Consider the following 13726-nt stretch of genomic DNA (forward strand, 5'->3'; position numbering starts at 1 on the left):
AGCCAGTGTTCAGAATCAGGCAGGCTCACTCCAGAGTCCATGTCTGGATATGGCTTGATGTGATGGGGCAGCGTTACCTGGAATGTCCTCCCCTTTGGATTTGGGCTGCCCACCTTTGGTCTTTATGTTCCTGCTGTCATTTTAATGGTCTTAGGAGAAACATGAGAAGAGTGTCATATAATTCCATTTCTGGGACTTAATTTATGTTTCATGAGCAGTGGTGAGTGAAGTTTAGATGTGGGTGCCCGCCCAGGAGGTGAGTGAATTCATGATCTCTGGACTTCTGTTTGGCTTGCTCATTTCTATTTGGACTCCACATAGAAATAGATTATTAAATCTTAGGACTTTACATTTTTGGACTGTCATTTAGATGTTTGATTTTCTTTTGACTATGTCTAGTATTCTAAGTGAAATTACATCCTTAGACAACTTGTTTTTGTTAAGCTAAATAGTCCTGAGGATACTTTTTAAGCGTGAAAGTACAGCAATTTATTGCAAAGCAAAAGTACACGCTTGAGGAAGGGGAATGCAGGCACATTCAGGAGAGGGAGTCGCACCTCAAGAATACTTTTAATAAAATAAATTTTATTTAAACCAATAGTTCCCAATGTCTTACAACTCTTTGCAGGTAAGCTGTACTTCTTCCTAATTTATCTGTGCCCTGAATGCTTCTTAAAAATAATTTTTTAAAAGTGTATTATTGGCCGGGTGTGGTGGCTCACGCCTGTAATCCCAGCACTTTGGGAGACTGAGGTGGGCAGAACACTTGAGGTCAGGGGTTCGAGACCAGCCTGGCCAATATGGTGAAACCCCATCTCTACTAAAAATGCAAAAATTAGCTGGGCATGGTGTGACACACCTGTAATCCCAGCTACTCAGGAGGCTGAGGCAGGAGAATCGCTTGAACCCAGGAGGCAGAGGTTGCAGTGAGCCAAGATCACGCCACTGCACTCCAGCCTGGGTAACAGAGCGAGACTCCGTCTCAAAAAACAAAAAAGTGTATTATTAAACTATTACTCAGATACTTGCTAGAATGGTAAGGAAAGACTTTATTCAGGAGTTGGACTAGCTGTCACAACTGTTGTAATAGGGGAGAGAAATTGGGGTCAACTCTTAATATAGCAAAGCCAGTTGAAGACGTATAGCCAATGAGCAGAATTAGGGGGTCAGGGTTGGAAAATTACTGAGGAGACATCAAGGGTCAGGGGGTTGTTGCCAAAACAACTTAACAGGAACTTTGCAGAAGGCAGGGCAAGGTAATCAAATATCAAGGATGGAGAGTGAAGAATTTGATCAGATATCAAGAGTGGGGGATTCTTTCTAAACTGACTTAGCAAGATTTTTGCTAAAACTGGGCTATGCAGGTCTGGCAAAGATGGAGTCAAAGATGAGGCTTAGTTGAGAAGAGAGTTCAGGAGAGCCTGATTAAAGTTTGATCAAGAAGAGAGTCTTTTTCAGTAGGAGGAGAAAAAAAAGTTTTTAAAAGAAACTTTTAAAGACAATTAACAATAGCCATGTGGATGAAATTCAGTTCTCTAAGAAGGCTGAAATGGAGAAAACTATTCTAAGACTTGTTGAGCATTCACTATTTTAAAAGTTAGGCAATATCAAGTCATCAGTTTATGTAAGGTTGTTTACCTTCAGAGTCACCATAAACATATTATGCCAAATGTATTCTCTCTTTTAATGGCCCTAGCACCAAGGACAGGTGTTCATGAAGATTTCACAGGCATATTGAAAAACTACTGGGAAATACTCATCTAGTATTTTCTTGTATATCATGTTTAAATTTACAAGAGCATACTTGCCCAGAATTCCGCATCATGGATATTCCAAGCCTTTCACACATTCTACAAGGCTCTAGTCAGGGTTTAAAAAGAAATAACATGTTACTATGCTGCAGTGATTCACCTCCTGCTGATGAGTCACCTCCTACTGATTAGAAACAGAGTAAGAGAATGTTACCAATCTGAGTTGGTTGGACTTGAAGTATCATAAAATATGCAGGGGTGGGTCTGGATACTAAGGGATCCAGTGCTCCTGAAGTTTTAATGTGCATAGTAATCAAATCATTCAGGATCTTCTTAACATGCAGGTTCTGATTCAGTGGGACTGAAGTAGGACCTCAGATTTTGTATTTCTAATGAGCTCCTGAGTGATGCTAATTTTGCTGGTCCTAGGACCATACTTTGAGTAGCAAGGACTTAACTCAATAGGAAGTAGAACTAAGTGCTCTTTTGAGCTCTTTATTTACTTTTCTCCACTAAAAGTAAGATTGAATAGTTCCTAGTTTCAAAACATATATATATGTTCTTGTCACATTGTAAAGAAAGCCAAAATTTTAAATTTATTACTTCCATACCATGGAAATGACTGTTGTTTCATGGAAATTTAGTGCATTAGTTAAAGGTGTCACTGATTCATCAGTTCTAGTATCCTTTGTAAAGAGGAAGTTTTTTTTTGAGTATAAACTCCTAGTAAGTGACAATATTACTGACAATAACATAATTGATTATAATATTACTGACAATATTTTTAGTCACAAAAATAAGGTTAGTAAAAAATAGAACTATTATATCTTGAGCACAGACTATGTGCTAGGCATTCTTCAAGGTGCTTTTTATACGTTACCTTTATAAGCCCTTATATCAACCTTGCAAGGTAGATATTATTAAATACTTTTTGATTGATGAGTGAGAAAACCATAGTTCAGAGAGTTAAGGTATCTGTAGTGAGAGAAGAGAAATTTGAACTTGGGTTTCCAAAGTTGTGTCTAATCTATTAGAACCAATTTGGTTGTTGCAATGCAAATAATATCAAAGTCCTTTATTTTCCCAGGAGGATTCTGTTCTTCGCATTCTTAGTTCATGCATTGACTGAAACAAAGGGAAAGTTAGGACTTGGCAAAATGATTCTGTCTAGGACTATTGCTGTCACATCTTTGAGGACAAAGATCAGTCAGAGACTATTTAACTATCTTATTTTCTACCTGGAAAGTTTCCCTTTTCTTGACTTTCTCTTCACATTGTAGGTAGGTAATCCTTTTTTCTTTTTTCCCCTTTTGCCCAGGCTATTTGACCATTCAACAACTGTTGGATTTGTTTGAAAAATATTCTTAGTAGCTTTTATTGGTTAATGTCCTGGGGACATGGGTCTCCTCCCGTAAAACCTTTGTGAAACAAGTCTCAATGAAACAATGAAAGCAAGGTTTCAGACCAAGTTCTTCTGTACCTACAAACATTTATTAGCAAGAAATTCAGAAGGATGATAGAACTTGTTTGTGGGGTTACCTCAATCTTTATCCTTTGGCACTCTGCACTCTTCCTAGAACTTTCCATGAAAACCTCGCTCGGAGGCAGACACAAGAAAAGGTTACATCAAAAGGAGATTAAACTGCCCTTAGGGTGTAGATTAAAACCAGTGTATATAACCAACCACAGCATCCCCCCTAATGATGCTGAGGTCTTTGGGAGTAAATGATGAATAATATGTCTAGCACAGGTTTAAACGGTCACTTGGCCCTTCCTGGGCAAAGCAAAAGAGAGAACTTAGCCTTTTCCTTAGTTGCACTTTCTCAATTAATTGTATTTTACATAAGATAATTATGATTGTTGCAATATTTACATTAGAATACTATGTCTTTTAAATTCCTGCTATTCTTACGTGGTTCCAAAACCTCCTTCTGGATTTGGGAAGAGTGAGAGGAGCTGAGCCCAGTTAGGTGTATGTTTTACTGATCTACCTGGTCTCTGCTGCTGCCTCCTGTGTCCAGGAAGGCTCCAGCCCTCAGGGAGGAGAGCTGTCCTGTATCTAAGCTTTTACCCCTCCATTATCTCTTTATTTGTTGCCAGCTTATATGGCTAGAAGCCAGATAATTTAGTTCTGCTTCCTGAATTCTCTTTAATAAAGCTTCTGTTCAGGAGCAAGTCTGTGTGCAGCAGGCATGGGGGCACCTGCCTTGTCACTTAGCTGTGACCAGCTTACCCAAGCCACAGCTTCTGTCTAGGGCCCCCTCTCATGTGGCTGATTGCAGGTTAGATTGTTAAAGAGGGTTAGCACATAGAGATTTGTTTCCTGAATTGATAACCTTTATTACCTGGAAAACGATAATAGAAAGATGATGTTTGAGTTGTTTACTAAACTTGTCTTGGTTTCCATGATGTTTGTTGGCTTTCTAACTCATGTGAACACACTAGCTGATCACTGCTCTGCCAGCAATACAGTGACCATTCTCTACTAAATAAGGGGTGTTGTTGCGTCAATTGGATGGTATGTACCAGCAAATCTGATAGCTCTAGTGAAAGGAGGATTCATACCATTGTGTCATTATTAGAGTGTTCTGTAACTGAGAATAAAACATTTATTTGATTAAGTGCCATTTACTGTGCTTCCTTTTCTAGTCAGTTTCTCATCCACACAGTCTTTGGAGCCAGATTTACCATTTAATGGGACCTAAGTTTTTATTGGAAGTTTTAAAAAAAATTCTTTTTTTTTCTTTTTTGAGACGGAGTCTTGCTCTGTCGCCCAGGCTGGAGTGCAGTGGTGTGATCTTGGCTCACTGCAACCTCCGCCTCCCGGGTTCAAGCGATTCTTCTGCCTCAGCCGCCTGAGTAGATGGGATTACAGGTGCGCGCCACCATGCCAGGCTAATTTTTGTATTTTTAGTGAAGACGGGGTTTCACCATGTTGGTCAGGCTGGTCTCGAACTCCTGACCTCATGATCCGCCGGCCTTTGAACACTAGAAAAAAACTGAGAAGATTGTTTAGTGCAACCCACCCAGCTACTAACTGGGAAAGACACTTGAACCCTCTAGGCTTTAAATTAAATATCTGGAAAAATGAAGCAGTTGGAAAAAATAATTACTAATATTTTTGGGTCTAAACTTGTATCACCGTCTTATTTTACAAAATAAAGAAATATTTGCAAAATTGGAGGCTTGCTTAGTTAGTGGGTTTAATGAGTACCAGTGGAATATATTAAAAGTTAACATTTTAAAGTGGAAAGATTTTAATATTACTTTTTTTTTTGGTTGTAAGTCTTGCTTTTCAGGGTTGGGTGACTGGGGCTATTGTAATTTGGGGCCCTTAGCCATAGGAGCTGCCAAAGGGTACAAAAGAATTGCTTCACTGTTAATTTTGCTGGACTTTTCTAAGGGTAAACAAACTTCCTTTGACATGTACAAGTTTCCAAAGCTGTGCTTTCCTCAGGGAAGGTAGTTAAAGCTAAAAGAAGCAAAGCTTTTAGATTTAATTCAGTGGGTGAACATGAAAGCCATGCATAAATCTTAGAAGAACTATGCTTTGCTGAGAGGCAAAGAATTGTCTCTACACTCTGATGCGGGGATATGCAGGAGGAGCCCAGGAGGTCCCTGTGAGGGTGCAAACCAATTAAGTAAGTCTTGAACCGAAATTGCTTTTTATCATCTGGGTGAGAAGCCACAGATTTAAAGAAAAGGGCTATTGTTTTACAAAGACCTAATTAGCTGGGCTACACTCAAGCTCTTGGGTTTTTATCTTATTAGAGAAAGGAAAGGTTGAAATTGCTTATGGGCTACTTCCTGGGTTGGAATTCCTAGGAATTTAGGATTTCTGAATCCTTTTCTAAGGAATACAGAATTCTTCCTGAAGCCATGTGTATCGGACTAACTATATTTTCCGTTGAGACTCAAACTAAAAATGCAATTGCTCTGATCTACTAGAAGTTTGTCCTAAATATCTTCCTTACTACAGGCGTGCTAGTATAAGTATGCTTTAGCCTTCTTGAGTACACAGACTTTGGAGTAAATAACATGTGGGTTTAAAACTCAGCTGTGTAAAATCTCAGCTGTACACCAAGTGGCTCTTTGCTTTGAAGCAAGTTACTTGAGCTTATATATAAAATAGGGTATCTACAGGAGTATTGAGAGTATTAAATAAAATTTAGTGACATAGTTAGTGTCTCAAGGGACCTGAAAGGGCTTCTAACTCTTACATGGTGTAATGTTTTAAAATGTGGCACTTTCAGTGTGACAATGTTTTATAATAAATATGAATTGCACTAATTCTTCTTTGTTGAAAACAAACAGGCAAGCAACAAAAATGTGGCTACATAGAGACAGAGAGAGAGAGAGAGAGAGAGAGAGAGAAACTCTCACAGTTTATGCGAGAGTCACAGTTATGTGGGAAAACTTAACTAAGAAGACTTTTCCTTATTCTTTAGGAGCATCAAAAAATGGCACCGAGTCCAAACCTTGGCTCATGGATTGAAATCTATAATGTGCCATACTGACTGAGTGCCTGGGGCAAGTTCTTCAACTTCTCTGCCTCAGTTTCCTCTTCTACAAATTGTGAAGATAGTAGTACCTCTAGGGTGGTTGTGAAAATGAAAGGGAAATAAAGGATGTTAAAGAAAGTATCCAGCATGTACTGAGAGCCCAGTAAAAGTTAGTGATCACCATTACCTCCACTACTGTATTAAATTGCTGAGCATTCAATTTTAAAAATAGGAAGGAAGAGCTTTAGTGCAGTAGTGTTTGACAGATTTAGGATACAATATCTTTCCTTAAAGTAAATTTATTTCATTATTTTTTAGCATCTAATTATTGCCCTTTGATTTGATAAAGAGATATAGATGGTTTGTCCCACGAGAACAGTTCTAAGCTACACTTTTTGACATGTTAATCTTCTGTGTGAAGGCTGGACTTCATTATTTCTAGAGTGTTCCTGAACAAGGCAGATCAGAGCTTTAATTTTTGGAATGTTAACAAGGGCAGCTGTATACCAGAGTTCTAGTTGTTTTTATGAGATTTTTAAAGAAGCACAGAAAGGAAACTAGTGAAAAAAAAGTTTATAGACTCTGGTTTGAATCCAAATCCTTTCAGAAGTGTTCTCTTCATATTAGATGGCAATAAAATTAGTCATTTAAATACTCAAATGTGTGCTTTTATAATTTATAATTGTATTCTTAGATTTTTTTTGCAATTATTTCGTATCTTTGATTTGGAAAACATTTTTAAGGCATGAGATAAATGTTTTTTGTATAAATGAAAAAAATTAAGCTGGGTGTGCATGCACCTGTATTCTCGGCTACTTGAGAGGATGAGGCGAGATGGAGTGCAGGAGTTTGAGTCCAGCCTGGGTAACATAGCAAGACTCTCTCTCTTAAAAAAAAAATGAAATGAAAGCCATTTATTCTAGAGGATTCAGGAAACTCCAGAGTTTGAATTTTCCTATAAATGCAGTCTTTATCCATAAAATATGTTGTGCACCCTTAGTGATGAAGTAAAGTATTTGAAATCTATTAAATGCTTTGCCATTTTATAATTTATTCTAAGCTATGCTTATGTTTCTGTGTAGAACAAAGGATTAGGAAACTAACTTATTTCTTTCCCCCAAGCATGCTGTATTTTTTTCTTTGAAAAAATGATTTCTAAGATATTTTAATTTAAGTTATAGTCAGTGTGACTATAGTCAGTGTGATATTTAATTTTAAGTTATAGTCGGTGTGATTATAAATATGAAAATCTGAAGAGTCAATAGAGAAAAAGACTAGGAGAAATAGTGGCTATGTATGGGTAGTAGAGATGTTGGTAATTTATTTATCTTTCAAACATTCTTATTAAAAAATTTTAATAATTATGTATTACTCCTAAATTTAGAAGTCAGTTTCTAATTCGATGTAAGATGCAATAAATTCAAAGATTAGATTTCAGCATTATTTAAAAAATTACAAAATATTGGTTTTTGGAAATTCTTACATAATTTTGTAGAAAACATCTAACTTTAGAGTATCTTTTTTTTTTTTTTTTTTTTTTTTTTGAGACGGAGTCTCGCTCTGTCACCCAGGCTGGAGTGCAGTGGCGCGATCTCGGCTCACTGCAAGCTCCGCCTCCCGGGTTCACGCCATTCTCCTGCCTCAGCCTCCCTAGTAGCCGGGACTGCAGGCGCCAGCCACCACGCCCGGCTAATTTTTTGTATTTTTAGTAGAGACGGGGTTGCACCGTGTTAGCCAGGATAGTCTCGATCTCCTGACCTCGTGATCCTCCCGCCTCGGCCTCCCAAAGTGCTGGGATTACAGGCGTGAGCCACCGCGCCCGGCCTAGAGTGTCTTTATTATTATTTTTTTGATGTAGTGATGACTAACCAGTCAATTCCATTTTGTGTATTGTGAGGACAATAATGAAATGTTTGTGAACTAAAGAAGGTAAAAAATTAGAAGATAAAATACTATTATTCAAAGAATTACTAAGAGATAAAAGATGATACAGTCAGGAATTTCTGAGAGGCTTACATTTGGGTGGGAATACATGCAACCAAAAAATTGTCTAAATGTAGAGGTCACAGAAAGAATAAAGAGATTAGGTAGGGTGTTATAGAGAAGAGCCAAAAATTTTTTGTAGAAGGAAGAAAACAGTTCAAAATAACACGGAAAGACCAAAATAAGGGTTCTGGTTAATGCATGAATAAAATTTATTCATTTAGCATTCAAAAAAGAGTTTGTTCCATTGATTCTCAGTGCCATCTCTTATCACTATGACATTATGACATTTTGGAAAAGACTAGTAACATTTTCACTAAATGGTAAGGATTTTTATTTTTATTTTTTGAGACGGAGTCTCGCTCTGTTGCCCAGGCTGGAGTGCAATGGCATGATCTCAGCTCTATGCAATCTCCGCCTCCCAAGTTCAAGCGATTCTTCTGCCTCAGCTTCCCGAGTAGCTGGGATTACAGGCGTCTGCCAACATGCCCAGCTAATTTTTGTATGTTTAGTAGAGATGGGGTTTCATCATGCTGACCAGGCTGGTCTCGAACTACCGACCTCAGGCGATATGCCCACCCCGGCCTCCCAAAGTGCTGGGATTACAGGCGTCAGCCCCGGCGCCCGGCCGGTAAGGATTTTTAAAGTATTTTAAAAAAACGTTTACTTGGTCAAAGGTGATTCATTAGCTCATACTATGTTTTGATATAATATAAAAGCAACGAAGTGCTATGATGATGGCACTTTGAGTGGCTGTTAAGAGTAGAAACCAGCCGGGCGCGGTGGCTCAAGCCTGTAATACTAGCACTTTGGGAGGCCGAGGCGGGCGGATCACGAGGTCAGGAGATTGAGACCATCCTGGCTAACACGTTGAAACCCCGTCTCTACTAAAAATACAAAAAATTAGCTGGGCGTGGTGGTGGGCGCCTGTAGCTCCAGCTACTTGGGAGGCTGAGGCAGGAGAATGGCGTGAACCCAGGAGGCGGAGCTTGCAGTGAGCCGAGATCGCGCCACTGCATTCCAGCCTGGGCGACAGAGCGAGACTCCATCTCAAAAAAAAAAAAAAAAAAAAAAAAAAAAAAAAAAAAAAAGGAGTAGAAACCAGAGATTCATTGGTCTTAGAAATAGCATTAGTGCAACATGTGGATTATGTGTACTCTCATCTACCCAATGGTATGAGCACTTCATCTGCTGTCAAAGTAATGGAGAAAACTCTGGTTTAGCATTAGAAATCACCATCTTCTCTAGTACAAGTCATGAAACTTAATGTCGGCAGTTTTAAAAACTGCAGTAAAGAAATTCACCTTCTCACCTTTTATTTTATCACATAACTTTTTGAAAGCTCTGTTATTATAATTACAGTGAATTTTGGTTTATATAATACCAACCTCACAAATGCAGAAATTCTCAATGATAATGTTTATGGTTTTAAAATGTTTATTCAGGTTTTAAAGACTTCTTCTTTTAAAAAGATTTCTGAGTATATGAAAAGTATTACTATGCCATATAAAAAAAGATTTATTTTAATAATCTCACTCTACTTACTGCCAGTTTTATCCAGAAAAATAGATGAATAAACTGCTTACAAAACAGTTAGGGAAAACAACATGTGGTGTGGAGGTATGGAGGTAGGGAACATGGTGAGTCACATGAATGAAATTTTGCTGCAGTTAGAATTTATAAAAGATGTGCTGATAGAAATTACTGTATCTAATCTAATTATATAACCATTAGAAAAATGTAAATATTCTTATATACCTGAGATTTATCTCCAGCCATATATACTTGAAAATTAAAGATGGATAAATTTCATACATTTCTGTGCAGCTTTATAAAGATCTATTTTTGGTAAGGATGGTCTACTAGGTTTTTTATGTATTTATTCCAAAAATTCATTGCTCTAAGTTTTAAAGAAATTAAGTCCTCTGTTTTTTTCTGTAGCAATGTGAGTTTCAATTTTTAAACAATGTTTTGTGTGAAATAAAGATTTGTTACACACACACACACACAGCCTTACTTCACCACTTTGGTGGCTCACTGTGCTACATGTATGCAGCATTCTGTTTTAATAAGAGTCAGCACTACTGTTTTTCTTAAACACACAGCAGCTATAGCTATCTTTTCGGCTGAGGTGCAGCATACAGTGCAGCAAAGGAAAATATCTTTTGGAGTACAGAATACTCTTAATTATCAGTTACTGGGCATCTACTTTGTGACTGTAATTTATGTCCTCCTATCTCCTGCAAATCCTAGACAAGAAAAAAATCCTTAAATCAACATGATACAATGGGTGCTGCTTATCAACTGCTAGGTAAGAACATCAAAATCTGGATCACAGTAGAGGTTATAGTGAGGCCAAGACCTTAGTCAACATATGGGAAGGAACCACTTATGTGAGAGTATATAATGACAATAAAGTGAGTGAGTGACTAAACCCACACTATGTAATAAAAATAACATGAAGTTGAGCACTCTTCAGGTACCTTAAACATAGTTATATTTTCATAACAAACTAAAAGACAGCATTGTTCCTTTTTATTCTTTCATTGTGAGACTTGGTTATTGCAGAAAAATGATAAAACATTAACAAACCACAAATAAGCAAAATGAAGATAATACAGTTTACTAATCATGTAACTACCCAGAAATGAAAAGTTAATTAATCAATGTTAACATTGGTATAAACTTTTTGTATGTTTTTTCTCGTGTTATTTTTTTTTAAAGGTAGTATTTTGCAATGCTACTGATGTGAATTTTAAATTTTTTCTTAGAAGTGATTTATGACTGAAGAAAAACTCTGTGTTGGTCCTGCTCGGATTCTTTTTTTCCTTTTCTCTCATAATTCCGCATTGTCTACTGATAATCTTTTGTGGTGATGTATTAGTCTTACTCTGTGTCCGACTAGTTATTTCCTTGTATCAAATCTTTTAATATAAATTACAGATAAATCTAAGTTTCCAAAATTACTTCACATTTACTTTTCATGTAATCAAAAATTATTTGTATTTCTATAGGTCTATTTCCTAGACTCATGCAGTGCTCTGTTTCTAGTTTCTTCTTGAATACACTTTAAAAGTTATTATGTATTGTCTGTAAGGCAATTCTTTCTGCTTTCATAATTACCTTTTTTTTTGAGGTCTTACATTTTTTTTTCCTTGAACTCTACCTGCCTATGTTTTATCTGCATTGAAAGTATTTTCTTATCTTCCCTAAACACTTGTTTTTCTACCTTGTGCTCTTATTTTATAAAGGCTATTGCTTTTTAAACTTTTAAAAGAATTATATTAAGATGTTTGATCAGATTTTTGTCTGTTCTCTGGTAGCATTTTTCTGGTGAATACTCTTCACTTGTCATTTATGCCTTATGTTTTTTCCTCCTATTCTTTTAGTATTATGATTTTTGTATAGGTTTTGTTTTTTTTAAATTGAGATATAATACACATATAATAAAATTCACCACTTTAAAGTGTATAATTCAGTGGTTTTTACTGTATTCACAGAGTTGTACAACCACCATTACTATCTATTATGATTTTCATCATGCTAAAAAGAAACTCTGTTAGCAGTAACTCCCCTTTCCCCCCTACTCCCTCATCCCTGGCAATCATTAATATACTCTTTGCTTCTATGGATTTGCTTATTCTGAGCATTTTATAGAAATCGAATCATACAATACATGGCCTTTTAAGTCTGTTTTTTTTTTTTCATTTGGCATAATGTTTTCTAGATTTATCCATGTTGTCATGTATTATTATTTCATTTCTTTTTGTGGCTGAATAATATTCCACTGAATATAGCACATTTTGTTTATTCATTTATTAGTTGACAGATATTTGGATTGTTCCCACTTTTTGACTATTATGAAGAATGTTACTATAAATATTTGTGTACAAATTTTCATGTGGACATAACATTTTCATTTCTCTTGGATGTATACCTATGAGTGTAATTGCTGGGTCATGTAGTAACTCTATGTTTTACCATTTGAAGAACTGCTAGACTGTTTTCCAAAGAGGCTATACCATTTTACATTTCCATCAGCATAATATGAGGGCTCTAATTTCTCCATATCCTCGCTAACATTTGTTATTATCTGACATTTTGATTTTATCCACCCTCTCTGTGTGAAGTGATATATCATTATGTTTTTGATTTGCATTTCTTTAATGACAAATGATGTTGAGCATTTTTTCATGTGCTTGTCAGGTCATTTTTATGTATTATTTGGATAAATGTTTGTCTTAGTCTGTATTGCAATGCTATAACAGACTACCACACACTGGGTATTTATAATGAACAGAAATTTATTTGGCACATAGTTCCAGAGACTAGGAAGTCTAAGAGCATAGTGTCAGCATCTGGTGGGGCCTTCAAACTTCATCACCTTATGGTGGAAGGTGGAAGGGCAAGAGAGTACATGAGAGAGAGCAAGAGACAGACAGAGAGCAAATGAGCCAAACTCAGTTTTATAACAACCCACTCTCACAATAATGAATTCACTCCAGTGATAAAAACATTAATCTGCTCCTGAGGGCAGAGCCCTCATGGCCTAATCACCTCTTAATGGTCTCACTTCTGAATACCATCATTATAGCAATTAAATTTCAATGTAAGCTTTGGAGGAGATATTCAAACCATAGCAATGTCTATTCAAATTTGTTCCTCATTTGTTTAAATTTATTTATTTTACTGTTATTTTAACTCTATATTTGTTTCATTTAAAAAATTAGGGTATAATTGACAAAATGAAAATGAGATATATTTACAGTGTATAATGTGATGTTTTGATATGTATATATACATTGTAAATGGTTAAATCAAGCTAATTAACATATCCAATATTGCCCATTTTTAAGTTAAACTATTTGTATTTTTATTATAGAATTATGAGTTTTTATATATTATGGATACTAAATCTTTATCAGAAATATGATTTACAAATATTTTATCCCATTCTAAGAGTTGTCTTTTCAGTTTCTTTTATTTATTCTTTTTTTTTGAGACAGGGTCTCACTCTGTCACCTAGGCTGGAGTGCAGTGGCAAGATCATAGCTCACTGCAGTCTCCAATTTCTGGGTTCAAGCAACCCTCCCGCTTAGTTCCCTGGGCAGCTGGAACTACAGGTGTGTGCCACCATGCCCAGCTAATTTAAAATTTTTTATTATTTTTGTAGAGACAAGGTCTCACTGTGTTGCCCAGAATGGTCTCAAACTCCTGGCCCTAAGTGATCTTCCTGCCTTGGCCTCCCAAATTGCTGGGATTACAGGCATGAGCCACCACACTTGGGCTCAATTTCTTTCTTTCTTTCTTTCTTTTTTGACAGGATCTCACTCTGTCACCCAAGGTGGAGTGCAGTGGCATGGTCTTGGCTCACTGCAACCTCCACCACCTGGGCTCAAGTGATCCTCCCACCTCAGCCCCGCAAGTTGCTGGGACTACAAGTGCATGCCACCACACCTGGCTAATATTTGAGGGGAATTTTTAGTAGAG

General features: G+C 36.7%; 1 protein-coding gene across 43 annotated transcripts in view; it reads left to right on the top strand.

Annotated features, from left to right (window-relative positions):
* Positions 1–13726, top strand: part of ANK2 (ankyrin 2) — a 678115-nt gene that overhangs the window by 150122 nt on the left and 514267 nt on the right. For 7 of the 43 annotated variants that reach the window (NM_001354261.2, NM_001386156.1, NM_001354264.2 and 4 more), the window contains exon 1: positions 5244–5392. The exons of the other annotated variants lie outside the window; for them this stretch is intronic. The gene's annotated coding sequence lies outside the window, so the exon portion shown is untranslated. Of the gene's footprint in view, positions 1–5243; positions 5393–13726 lie in introns of those variants that run through there. 43 annotated transcript variants of the gene reach the window in all.

The sequence above is a fragment of the Homo sapiens genome, chromosome 4 (genome assembly GCF_000001405.40).
Source record: "Homo sapiens chromosome 4, GRCh38.p14 Primary Assembly".
Taxonomy (NCBI): domain Eukaryota; kingdom Metazoa; phylum Chordata; class Mammalia; order Primates; family Hominidae; genus Homo; species Homo sapiens.